The sequence below is a fragment of the Homo sapiens genome, chromosome 1, assembly GCF_000001405.40.
Source record: "Homo sapiens chromosome 1, GRCh38.p14 Primary Assembly".
Taxonomy (NCBI): Eukaryota; Metazoa; Chordata; class Mammalia; order Primates; family Hominidae; genus Homo; species Homo sapiens.
In genome coordinates this window covers 50,011,971-50,023,968 of record NC_000001.11, presented here as the reverse complement: position 1 = coordinate 50,023,968, position 11,998 = coordinate 50,011,971, and the positions used below count along the sequence as shown (strand labels likewise).

General features: G+C 38.0%; 1 protein-coding gene and 1 pseudogene across 10 annotated transcripts in view; one reads left to right on the top strand and one right to left on the bottom strand.

Annotated features, from left to right (window-relative positions):
* The first annotated feature begins 14 nt into the window (after positions 1-14).
* The window catches only part of AGBL4 (AGBL carboxypeptidase 4), a 1,501,444-nt gene continuing 1,489,460 nt past the window's right edge, over positions 15-11,998 (top strand). For all 10 annotated transcript variants that reach the window (NR_136623.2, XM_017002595.3, NM_001323575.2 and 7 more), the window contains exon 1: positions 15-206. Coding sequence is in view for 9 of the 10 variants with exons in the window: in XM_017002595.3 (XP_016858084.1) it covers positions 173-206 (34 nt within the window). In the remaining variant the exon portion in view is untranslated. The remainder of the gene's footprint in view (positions 207-11,998) is intronic.
* MTND2P29 (MT-ND2 pseudogene 29) lies at positions 6,465-6,883 on the bottom strand (annotated as a pseudogene).

Below are 11,998 nucleotides of genomic sequence, written 5' to 3'. Positions count from 1 at the left end.
TCCCTCCCGCCCTCAGCCGCGCGCCGGCCACCCGCGCGCCTGCCGCCCGTTGCCCAGGCAACCGTCGTGCCGCGTCTTCCTGAGGTAGCTCCTGTCAGCCCACTGATCCCACCACCCGCTCCCTACTGCCCCGCGGTCTTCGCGTGAGCTCGGAGACTGAGGGACAACAAAAATGGCGGAGGGGAGCCAGTCGGCGCCTGAGGCAGGTCTGTGGGGGCGGCCGATCTGGGGAAGGCTGAGGCGGCCAGGCTGTCCTGGGTCTCAGGCAACAGGGGACTCGGGCATGGTCCTACTCCTGAGGAGGCGGTCCTGTATATTTGCGCGGTGGGTTATGACTTCAGGGTCAGGGGTCAAGGGTGGCGTGCACCCCTCTGAATGGCGGGCAGGGACCTCGAAGTCCGGGTGGTGGAGGGGAGTGTGGGTTAGTGTGCACACTTCTGACAGAACATGGGCCCGAAAGGGGCTGGGACCTGAGGGAAGAGACAGGATCTTAATCCTGGGATCACCTGTGGTGAAGGCTAATCCTAGGGCTAGGCTGTGTCATGGAAAGGGTGTACACTGCCCTGTGGGAGCATGGGAGAGATCCCTAAAGGGGCATGATTTGGGCTCGGGGTGGGAGTAGGAGGCTCTGACTCTAAAGAGGGAGGTATACGTGGAAGGTGTGTTACTTTAATATCAGACAGTGCCATGGAAGGGGGAGTTAGAGTATTTGTGTTTGGGGATGTGCAGTGTCCTCAGGGTCACTCCTGGTCACAGAGAAATTTATGCAAATAATTCTTGTATGGGTCCTTAAAAAGACAAGAGGCCTTGAGGGGATACCCGGAGCCCCAGTCCTTTAGGAGCCTACCAAAGGAGGCTGGAGCGTGAGTGTGAGTGTGTGTGGGTTCAATGATCTTGAAGGTCATTCAGAATCAAAGGAGTGCATGTCCACACTTCTGTGGGTAGAAGATAGCCTTTAAGGGACAGGAAGACTGACAGGAAGGGAGACCCAGGATCCTATTCCTGAGGGGACCCCTTGTGCATATGGCTGGGATTTGTGAGATACTGACTTTAAGTTTCTCACAGGGTCATAGAAGAAAGCAAAGGTTTTTACAGTTTTGAGTATGTGGGAGGGAGTTTGCCTCTAAATGAGGCTGACCACTGAAGAACTGGATGTTACGGGATGGCATGGGTGTGTGGGTAGAAAAGAAGTGGCTTTGGGAATATGTGTGTGATGGGTGTTGGCAGTGGTATACATAACCTTGTATATATGTCCTGATCAGGTATTATCATTACAAGAGTGATCCACTTGAATTACTTTGGTCCTGGTGTGTGTGTGTGTGTGTGTGTGTGTGTGTGTGTGTGTGTGTGTGTGGTTATGGTACATACACACCACACCCCAGAAACTGGAACTGAAAACTATGACACCCTCAGAAATAAGTTCGAGGAACCATTATGTCTCAAGGCCTTCATTATTTCTCTTTCTTTCATGGCACCTCTGTTTTATTGAGTAGCTCCTCTACTCATTTTATAGTTTTAGCTCCCTCATAACTTGAACAGGCTTATTCCTTTATTCATTCATCCACTCAACAAATATCGAGTGCTAACTATATGCCTGGCAATAAGTTAGGCATTGGAAATTCCCTGCTTTGGATGAGCTTACCTTGTTCTTCTTTTCCTTTTTTTCTCATAGCATTTATTGCCTTTGAACATACTATTTAATTTACTTGCTTGTATTGCTTATTTCCTGTCTCCTTCCACTACAATGTAAGCTCTACAAGGGCATTGTTTTATCAATACCACATGTCTAGAACTTTTCTAAGTGTATAGTATGTTCTCAATAAAGATTTCTTAAATGAATAACTGAATTACTGATATTGTCTGGAAGTGATATTTTAGCTGACATATGATAGGGATTGGATAATTGAAAAAAAGGGCAAAGAGTGGTCGAGGCAGCAGGAAAACCATGTGCAAAGAACCCAAGCAGGTGGAAACATGTTATGCTGTGTTTGAGGAACTGAAAGGAGACAAGTGTGGGTACATGTGGGGCAATGGGAAGAGAGAAGAGGTACGCTGAAGCCAGATCTTCCAGTACTTTGTAGAATATGATATGAATTTGGGTCAGAAATCCTAAGAATAATGGGAAGCCATTGAAGGCTTTTAAGTGGGAGCATGCCATGATTAGAATAATTAAAAAATAACTCTGGCTACAATGTGGAGAGTACAGAGGATACAAGAGTGGATATAGGATATACTCTCCACCAGCTACATTGAGGAGAGTACAGAGGATACAAGAATGCATATAGAGAGACCTTAGAAGGTAGCAGTGGAGATGAAGAGAAGGAATTGAGAAATACTTAGGAGATAAAATTAATAGGACTTAGTGAAATATGAGGATGATGGAGAAGGAAGTATCGAAGACTACTTCTCATTTTCTAATTTGTTCAACTGGATAGTTAGTGGTGCCATTATTGGGATAGGGAGCATTGGAAGGGGCCTTGGGTAGGTGTGAGAGGAAAGATCATTAATTTGGTTTTAGATAAGTGGAGATTGAGGTATCTTTAGGACATCCAGATAAGCAGAGAGATTGACAAGGCAGTTGAATTTACAAGAAAAGTGTAAACTGGCATAGAGATAATTATTTTGACATAGAAATAATTACTCAAGCCATGGGTGTGGATGAAATTGCCTAGAGGGAGAAGAGGCCTGGGATGAAGTGTTGAGTAGCTGCAATATTTCAATGCCTTCCAAAGAGACTGAGAAGGTGCGACTGGAGAGATTAGAGCACAGCTAAAGGAATGTTTCAAGATAAATGGAATACTCAGTAGACTGAATGCTGCCAAACAATATAAAATGAAGGGCTAAAAAACTAGATTTAGCAACAGAGAGGTCATTGGTAACATTGATGGTAGAAAATTGATGATGGTAAAAAGCCAGGTCATTTAGGCAAATAATGCCTCAGTCTTTGTTTAATTCAAATTTCTGAGAGAGATAATTTTATTGACCCTTATTGTCTTTTACCACTAAATCACAGTCCAGTGTCAGGATTGACTGGTTTTAGATTAGGTGTCCAGCTATTGCTGGCTGGAGTCACCTGATACAAAATATGGCCATCTGGTAATTTCTTAATCTCACTTGAAATAGCCAACATTTATGAAGTGTTTATTTTGTACCACGCATTGTACTAAGTGCTTTATACATTTTACTTCAGTCTCATAACAACTCTTTAAGGTATTCTCTATGTTTTATATGTGGAGAAGTTTTGGCACGGAGAAGTTGACAACTTAATTAAGATCTGCAAAGAATTAGTAGAAGATTAGTTTTTTTGACAATTTAAATGTTACCCAGATTCATTATTTGGCTTTGTGTTTGTATTACAACATACTACGTTCTGAAGAAATCATAGCCATGATGAAAATCCCTGCCTTACAGGAAATATTCTAAACTAAGCATATTCTAACAAGGTGAAATGGAAAGAAATGGGCTCAGATCCTTGTGTAAACCCTACTTTTGTGACTGTGACTTATTATATGTGGACCTTGGACTCAAGTTTTATGATCTTCAGTTTCCTCATTTGTAAAATGGGGATGATATTTGCAGGATAGCTGTGAATATTAGAGATCATATACTTGAAGTGTCCAATAAATGTTATGTCCGTAGTTCACTTGAAGCTTGAATATAAAAAATTTCAAATGTATTGCATATACTTTACATATAAAAGAAATTATATAAACATACAATGATGAGTATAAGAAATTCTGTTTTTTCTTCATTGGTTTTTCACTGCTTTGCTGTCAGAAGAAAGGCAGACATTAAGTTTTGGAGAATGTAGAATTGTTACCTGAACTGTGTATCATGGGACCGGTCTCTGTGTGAGGTAGATTTTGAGGAATTTCTTGGAGGAATAAGGGACACTTAAGATATCTTAAGCATGCTTTTATATGTAAAGTATATGCAATACATTAGAAATTTTTTATATTCAAGCTTCTTACAGAGCATGTAGATAGCTCTGTAAGAGGGTCAGATTTATAAAAGGAAGTTTCTTCTTTTAAATCTTGTGCTTTAAAATGGGGACACAAATGTCAGGACTTTTTCCCTATAAATTTGATTATCAATACTAATAAAAAAGAAAACCTTACAGTTAATTACATGTAGGAGTATTAGTCTCATGCTAGATTGCACCTGCTTCTTTTTCTTAGCTTCTTCTCCCTCTCTTCCAGCTATCTTAAAAAAGCTTTTATTTTAGTTACCCGGTAAAATAATTTGTTTTTCTATTTTGTCAAGTTATTCTGTGGAAGCCCATGTAGGCAAACATTTTTTTAAATGATGCAGTCTGTTAAAATGGACCGTACCTTTATCACTCTCTGTGAAATAAATGGGTCTATTTTAAAAAGCAGGTTTATATGAATCAGAAACCAATTATGGGCAGAATGTTGAAATTGTAAAACGCCTTAGAAATGAGAATATTGTTTGATAGCTTGTGTTAGTGGTTGGACAAAGTAATAGTTAAGCCTTTTTTGTTTTAGTACCTGTATTTAACTGGGGATAATAACAGCTACTTTTAAGGTGAAAATTAGAGATAAGTTATGGAAAGTATACAATGTCTTACACCCCCAGAGAAATGATATCTTAATTGGTGTCTGTGTGTGTTTATGTGTGTGTGTGTGTGTGTGTGTGTGTGTGAGAGAGAGAGAGAGAGAGAGAGAGAGAGAGAGAGAGAGAGAGAATATTTTTTTTCCTAAAGGCATAGGAGAAAATCACCTTTAAAAGAAGAGGAAATCCAGGTCTGCAGTCCCTTATCTGGCAGGTATGGATGCAAATATATTTCAGAACTCAGATTTCTTTTTATTATGGAAAGGCAATACTGCATATGTACTGTCAATTACATAATACCCCCAATGGGGTGTGAGATAGTAAGATGTAATCAAACACATCAATATCACATTCACAGTAAGTGAATAAAAATTATAAACAGAGTCACATAAATTTGGGTTGGATTTTGCTATCAAATTAATTTTGGTGCTAAAGTTAGATATTTGGTGATTTTGGAATTATGGAAAAGGGAATGTGGACTTACATAATTTTATTCATTTTTGGAAATATTTTCAAAAGTTTAAAATATTTTTCTCACTTTTAGATTTTCTATATTATAAGTGAGCTATAACATAATATTAATATCTCAAAAGTATTGAGACAGAAAACTATTTTTTGACAGAAAGTTTATGTGCTTGTTTCTTCTAAGGCTCTTTGATCATGTCTGTATTTCTGAGATCCGTGAATGTTGTAATTTGCTTCAGTTTCAGCATTGTGGCTCAGTGTCACTTTCAATGAAAGCTACTAAAGATCTATATATATTAAGAAAGTCAGAGGATGTGAATATTTTGCATATATATTCTAAATAAAATCACAGCTTTCTCTTTGAGTCATTTAAGAACAGCACAGTTCTATGTGAGTTTCAGAGTATTTTTATTAGTTGTTAAATTTCAGCAATGGAGTATTAATTTTAATACAGATTTAAGGAAAAATTTCATTCTTAGATGAATTTGATGTTTCTCATTATAAAAATTATTGCAAGTTTAAAAGCTTGCAGTACTTCATTGATAGTGTTCACCATATTGGAATATGCTAATCTTTGCTTTTTATATTCCTCATTTATTTAATGGGATCCATAAAACAAATTTCTCTTTTTTAAAACTTCAAAGGAAGATGTTTTTATTTGTCATATGTATTTAAGAACTGTTGGGTGTATACTTTTGAGTCTCTAAACAGACTTGGAAAAAAGTGTACTTTCATGTCATCTGAAGGAAAACAAAGCAATGAAACACAAAAAGACTTCTAAAATTTTATATAGGATTGAAAACTTTTATATAAGATTGTCAATTCCTAAATAAATATTTTGAAAAATATTATAGAAATAAATCTCTTGGGGAAGGGACATCAAAAACAACCTGCCAATAATTACAGTTTGCTTGTCTTTCTTTCAGGAGTAATAGATGAATCTCTGTGTCTTGGCTTTGTGGAAGAAATTACTATTATGGGCTGTGTTACTTTATTTATGTATTTATGTATGTTTGTATTTTTATTTTATTCCATTTCAACTTTTATTTTAGGCTCATGGGGTACATACACAGGTTTGTTATATGGATAAATTGCATGTTGCTGGGGTTTGGTGTACAGGTTATTTCATCACCCAGCTAATAAGCATAGTATCCAACAGGTGGTTTTTCAACCCTCACCCTCCTGCCCCTCTCTACCCTAAAGCAGGTCTTGGTGTCTTTTGTTCCCTTCTTTGTCTCCATGTGTAATTAGTGTTTAGCTTCCACTTATAAGTGAGAACATGCGGTACTTGGTTTTCTGTTCCTGCGTTAATTCCCTTAGTATAATGGCCTCCAGCTCCACCTATGTTGCTGCAAAGGACATGATCTTGTTTCTTTATATGGCTTTCTTTTTTATGTGTAGTATTCTGTGGTATATATGTATATAATAATTGAGGAGTAGGCTAGGATTTTCGCAGTTGTATTTGATTGAGTCCTCCTCAACTGCCCACTATAATGGATAGGATTGTGATAGATAGGCGGATGTTCATGTTTATTGATGGGAAAATTTGAAATATAATCGAGATAGGGGCTAGTTTTTGTCATGTAAGGAGAAGTATGCCAGATATTAGAGAAGTTCCTTGGGTCCTCTCTGGGACTCAGAAGTGAAAGGGGGCTATTCCTAGTTTTATTACTAGGGCCGTTATTATTATTAAGGATGAAAATTGATTAATAGTATTTATTATTGTTCATTGTCCAGAAGACAGGTTATTGGAAATGATAGCTATCATGAGAATTATAGATGTGGTTGCTTGTGTAAAGAAATATTTGCTGATGGCTTCTGTAGAGCGGGGATTTATTTTATGTATATATATATATATCACATTTTCTTTTCCCTGTCCACTGTTGATGGGCTTTGGGTTGATTCCATGTCTTTCCTATTGTGAATAGTGTGGCGATGAACGTATGTGTGCATGTGTCTTTATGGTAGAACAATTTAGATTTCTTTGGGTATATACTCAGTAGTGGGATTGCTAGATCAAATGGTAGTTCTAAGTTCTTTGAGAAATCTCCAAAGTGCTTTCTACAGCAGCTGAACTAATTTATATTCCTATTAACTATGTGTATGTGTTCCCCTTTCTCTGCAGCCTCTCCAGCATCTGTTGCTTTTTGACTTTTTAGTAATAGCCATTCTGACTGGTGTGAAATGGTATTTCACTGTGGTTTTGATTTGCATTTCTCCAATAATTAGTGATGTTGAGCATTTATCATATGCTTGTTGGCCGCATGTATGTGTGTGCTGAGCATTGCTTGTTGGCCACATATATGTCTTCTGAGAACTGCCTGTTCATCTCCTTTGCCCGCTTTTTATTATTTTTATTTATTATTTTTTGAGACAAAGTCACACTCTGTCACCTAAGATGGAGTACAGTGGCACAATCTTTGCTCACTGCAATCTCTGCCTCCTGGGTTCAAGTGATTGTCCTGCCTCAGCCTCCTGAGTAGCTGGGATTACAAGCACACACCACCATGCCTGGCTAATTTTTGTGTTTTTTAGTAGAGGTGGGTTTTGCCATGTTGGCCAGGCTGGTCTGGAACTCCTGACCTTAGGTGATCTGCCCACCTTGGCCTCCCAAAGTGATACGATTACAGGCATGAGCCACCACGCCCAGCCTGTTAATTTGTTTAAGTTCCTTATAGATTCTGGATATTAGACCTTAGTTGAATGCATAGTTTGCAAAAGTTTTCTCCCATTCTGTAGGTTGTCTGATTACTCTGTTGATAGTTTCTTTTGCTGTGCAGAAGCTCTTTAGTTTAATTAGGTCACACTTGTCAATTTTTGTTTTTGTTGCAGTTGCTTTTCATGTCTCCATCATCAAATCTTTGCCAGGGCCTATGTGCAAAATGGTATTTCCCAAGTTTTCTTTAGGGTTTTTACAGTTTTAGTTTTTACATTTAAGTCATTAATCCATCTTGAGTTGATTTTTGTATATGTTTCAATCTTCTTCATGTGACTAGCCAGTTATCCCAGCACTGTTTATTGAATAGGGAGTCATTTCCCTATTGCTTGTTTTTGTCTACTTTGTTGAAGATCAGATAGTTGTAGATGTGCAGCTTTATTTCTGCTTCCTCTGTTCTGTTCCATGGGTCTTTGTGTCTGTTTTTGTACTAGTACCATGCTGTTTTAGTTACTGTAGTGTTGTAGTATAGTTTGAAGTCAGGTAATGTGATGCCTCTGGCTTTGTTTTTTTTGTTTGTTTTTGCTTAGAATTGCTTTGGGTATATTTATTTATGTTTTGAGACAGGGTCTTGCACTGTCATTCAGGCTGCAATACTGTAGAATGATCATGGCTCACTGCAGCCTTGATTTCCCAGCTCAAGTGATGGTCTCATCTCAGCCTCCCAACTGGCTGGAACTACAGGCACATGCCACCACGCATAGCTAATTTTTTAATATTTTGTAGAGGCAAGGTCTCACTCTGTTTCACAGGATTTTTATTTGTTTTTAAAATTACTTGTTTATTCAAAACTATACTGAATACCTTCTATGCATCAAGCATTGTGCTAAACTCTGGAAATTCACAGATGTATTATAAAAAGTCCTTGCCTTCAAGGAGCTCCTATCCTAGTGGAGGAGAAATAGAGCTAGAAAATTATCATTCAGGCAACATAGAGTTGTACACAGAATTCTGAGGCCAGAGAACGGTTCCCTGACAGCCTGGGGGTAGTGGTCGTAGTTCAAGAAGGTGTCTTAGATTAGAATAAGGGACACATTAATTGAGTCTTGAATGATGAGAAGGAATTAGCCCAGTGGAAGTGGTAGGCAGAAGTGTGGAGAGAAGGAATGAAGGGCAGAGAAAACAACATGTGCATCACAAACTTGTGGAGGTGAGAGAATAATGCTCACTTAGAATGTTGTTAAAATTGCACACCTATTAACAGAGCTAAAGACTATATTTCTTCCTTTCTCCTCAGATTCTTAAACATTTCTGGAGTCATAGATTCCCTTGATTAACTGATAAAAACCAATGAATTCTTCCTCATGGAAATGCACAGTACGTGCAAGCACACAAAAATTTGAAATGATTTCAAGGTATGAAATCCTGAAGCTCAAATTAAAAATCCTTTTGGCTGGGCATGGTAGCTGATGCCTGTAATCCCAGCACTTTGGGAGGCCAAGGCAGGTGGATCACCTGAGGTCAGGAGTTCGAGACCAGCCTGGCCAACGTGGTGAATCCCCGTCTCTACTAGATATACAAAAATTAGCCGGGCGTGTTGGCTTGTGCCTGTAGTCCCAGCTACTCAGGAGGTTGAGGCAGGAGAATTGCTTGAGCCTGGGAGGTGGAGGTTGCAGTGAGCTGAGACTATACCATTGCACAGAGCAAGACTCTCTCCAAAAAAAAAAAAAAAAAAAAAAGAAATCCTCTGTTCATTAGTTATGAGGTCTATTTAGGAAACTGATCTTGAAAGTAGGAATACTTTGGTGAAAAGGGTTGATCTAATAACATTTGTATTAGAGCAGGTCCAAAGCAAATGCTGGCCCCTAAATTGTTTTGTTTATCTTTTTCTTTATCTTTTTTTTTTTTCGAGACAAAGTCCCACTTGGCCAGGCTGGAGTGCAGTAGTGTGATCTTGGCTCACTGCAGCCTCCACCTCCTGGGTTCAAGTGATTCTCCTACCTCAGCCTCCCAAGTAGCTGGGACTACAGGTGCATGCCACCACGCCCAGCTAATTTTTGTATTTTTAGTAGTGACAGGGTTTCACCGTGTTGGCCATGATGGTCTCGATCTCTTGACCTCGTGATCTGCCTGCCTCAGCCTCCCAAAGTGTTGGGATTACATGTGTGAGCCACCACACCTGGCCTTTAAAACCTCATTTGGATGTATCTGTCTCTGTTGACAGTGTGACATAATAAATAGGGCATGGATTTTGAAATTACAAAGATAAGATTTAAAACATTCAACTCTACCAATTAATGTGTAATAGTGTTTCTCTAACCCAGTTTTCATGTTTAAATGGAGATACTAGTCCTTTATCAAATAGGGTTGTGAGGTGTATGTAGTGCATATAGTATAGGAGAAACTGTCTTCACTAAGTAATTGGATTAATTGGTGCCTTTCATTCTATTAGACATACAGCTTTATACATGTTTAAAGATCTTCTCCAGTCATGTAACTACCCCAGGTGCTTTAAGAAAACAATTTTATAAATGTATTTGGATGGAACATCAGACCCTGTGTCATAAACATATTAGGAAGAACTTAATAATTTTAATAAAAATTGGAAATATGTTCCTAAGCTGTAATACTGTAACTTCTTATCTTAGTAGTGTCATTACCAATGATGTACCATCACAAGAATAGCAGTGATTATGGGAAATGCTAGTAAACTTTTTGCAGCTTACTAACAATTGTAAATGTTTTAAACTTTCCTATAAAAGACTAGAAAGCTTTTATCTCAGTTTAGGTTTATCAAATTGTGGGGTCTTTAATTTGCATCACACATATTATACAGCTGGATGAAAACCAAATGATTTAATAAAAGTGGTGGGTAATTTTTTATTCTTTTCTCTAATGAGACTGATTCTTTTGCTTCAATTTAATAGAAACTACACATGGTCTAGGACTCAGCTTCACGAGAGAAACTTTCCCCTATATTTTGAGGAAGGACTCATGATCTTATTTACTCTTTTTATTAATTCCTATAACCTGATTTAATAAAGCCCTAAGACAGAGGACTATTTCTTCCTTTAAATTCACATTTGCTAGTTTGGGACTAATTTCGTGTTGTGTTGTACTGATTAGAGCTTTTCTATTTCTGGAAGATTTTACATTTTGACTAGATCAGTGTATCTTTAATTCGATAGAGTTTCTTCAATTAAGGAACTTAATAGACAACTGAAGTACTGTATATATTTTTAATGGAAATTGGAAGTGGTTATATTCTGAGACAATGGGTGTTGTAACTAACTACTGAAACAAATTATGATTCCAGGGTCACATTACTTTTTGGTGGAAACAAACCAGGGCATGTTTTTTTCCTTTTATTATTTGTACATCCTTACGATCAACGTGGTTTCAAGTTGGCAAAAAAGTTGTTCTCAGAAAATTTTACATGTGATCCTGAAAAAGTATAATTTTCTTCAGATATCTAATTTTAATGCAGTTTCACATTTAGGCTATCAAAAGTTGCCAACTCACCCTTGAAAACACACTATACACTTAAAAAGCTCTGGGAATGAGCTTCTTGCTTTTAGGGTGACAAAAGCATCCTTATCCTACTGAGGTATTCTCTGAACATATACATATTTTGAAAGCTTAAGAGTTTTAACTGGTTTTCAAAAACAGGATTAAATATTATCAGGAGGATAGATAAATTATTTTTGTTGCTGTCCTAGCAAGCTAAATGTTCTTATATTGCTAATTTAAAATTTTTTCTTATTTATTTATTAAAAATTAAAAAAACTGGATATGTAGTAGGTGTATATATTTATTAGGGTACATGTGATGTTTTGATATACGCATGCAATGTGAAACAAGCACATCAAGGAGAATGGGTTATCCATCCTCTCAAGCATTTATCCTTTGAGTTAGAATCTAATTACACTCTAAATTATTTTAAAATGTATAATTAAGTTATTATTGACTATAGTCACCCTATTGGGCTATCACGATAGCAGGTCTTGTGGTAGGTCTTATTCATTCTATTTTTTTTTCAATCCATATCCCCAGCCTCCCACTAACCTTCTCAGCCTCTGGTAAACATTCTTTTTTTTTTTTTTTTTTTTTGAGACGGAGTCTCGCTCTGTCGCCCAGGCCGGATTGCGGACTGCAGTGGCGCAATCTCCGCTCACTGCAAGCTCCGCTTCCCAGGTTCACGCCATTCTCCTGCCTCAGCCTCCCGAGTAGCTGGGACTACAGGCGCCCGCCACCGCGCCCGGCTAATTTTTTGTATTTTTAGTAGAGACGGGGTTTCACCTTGTT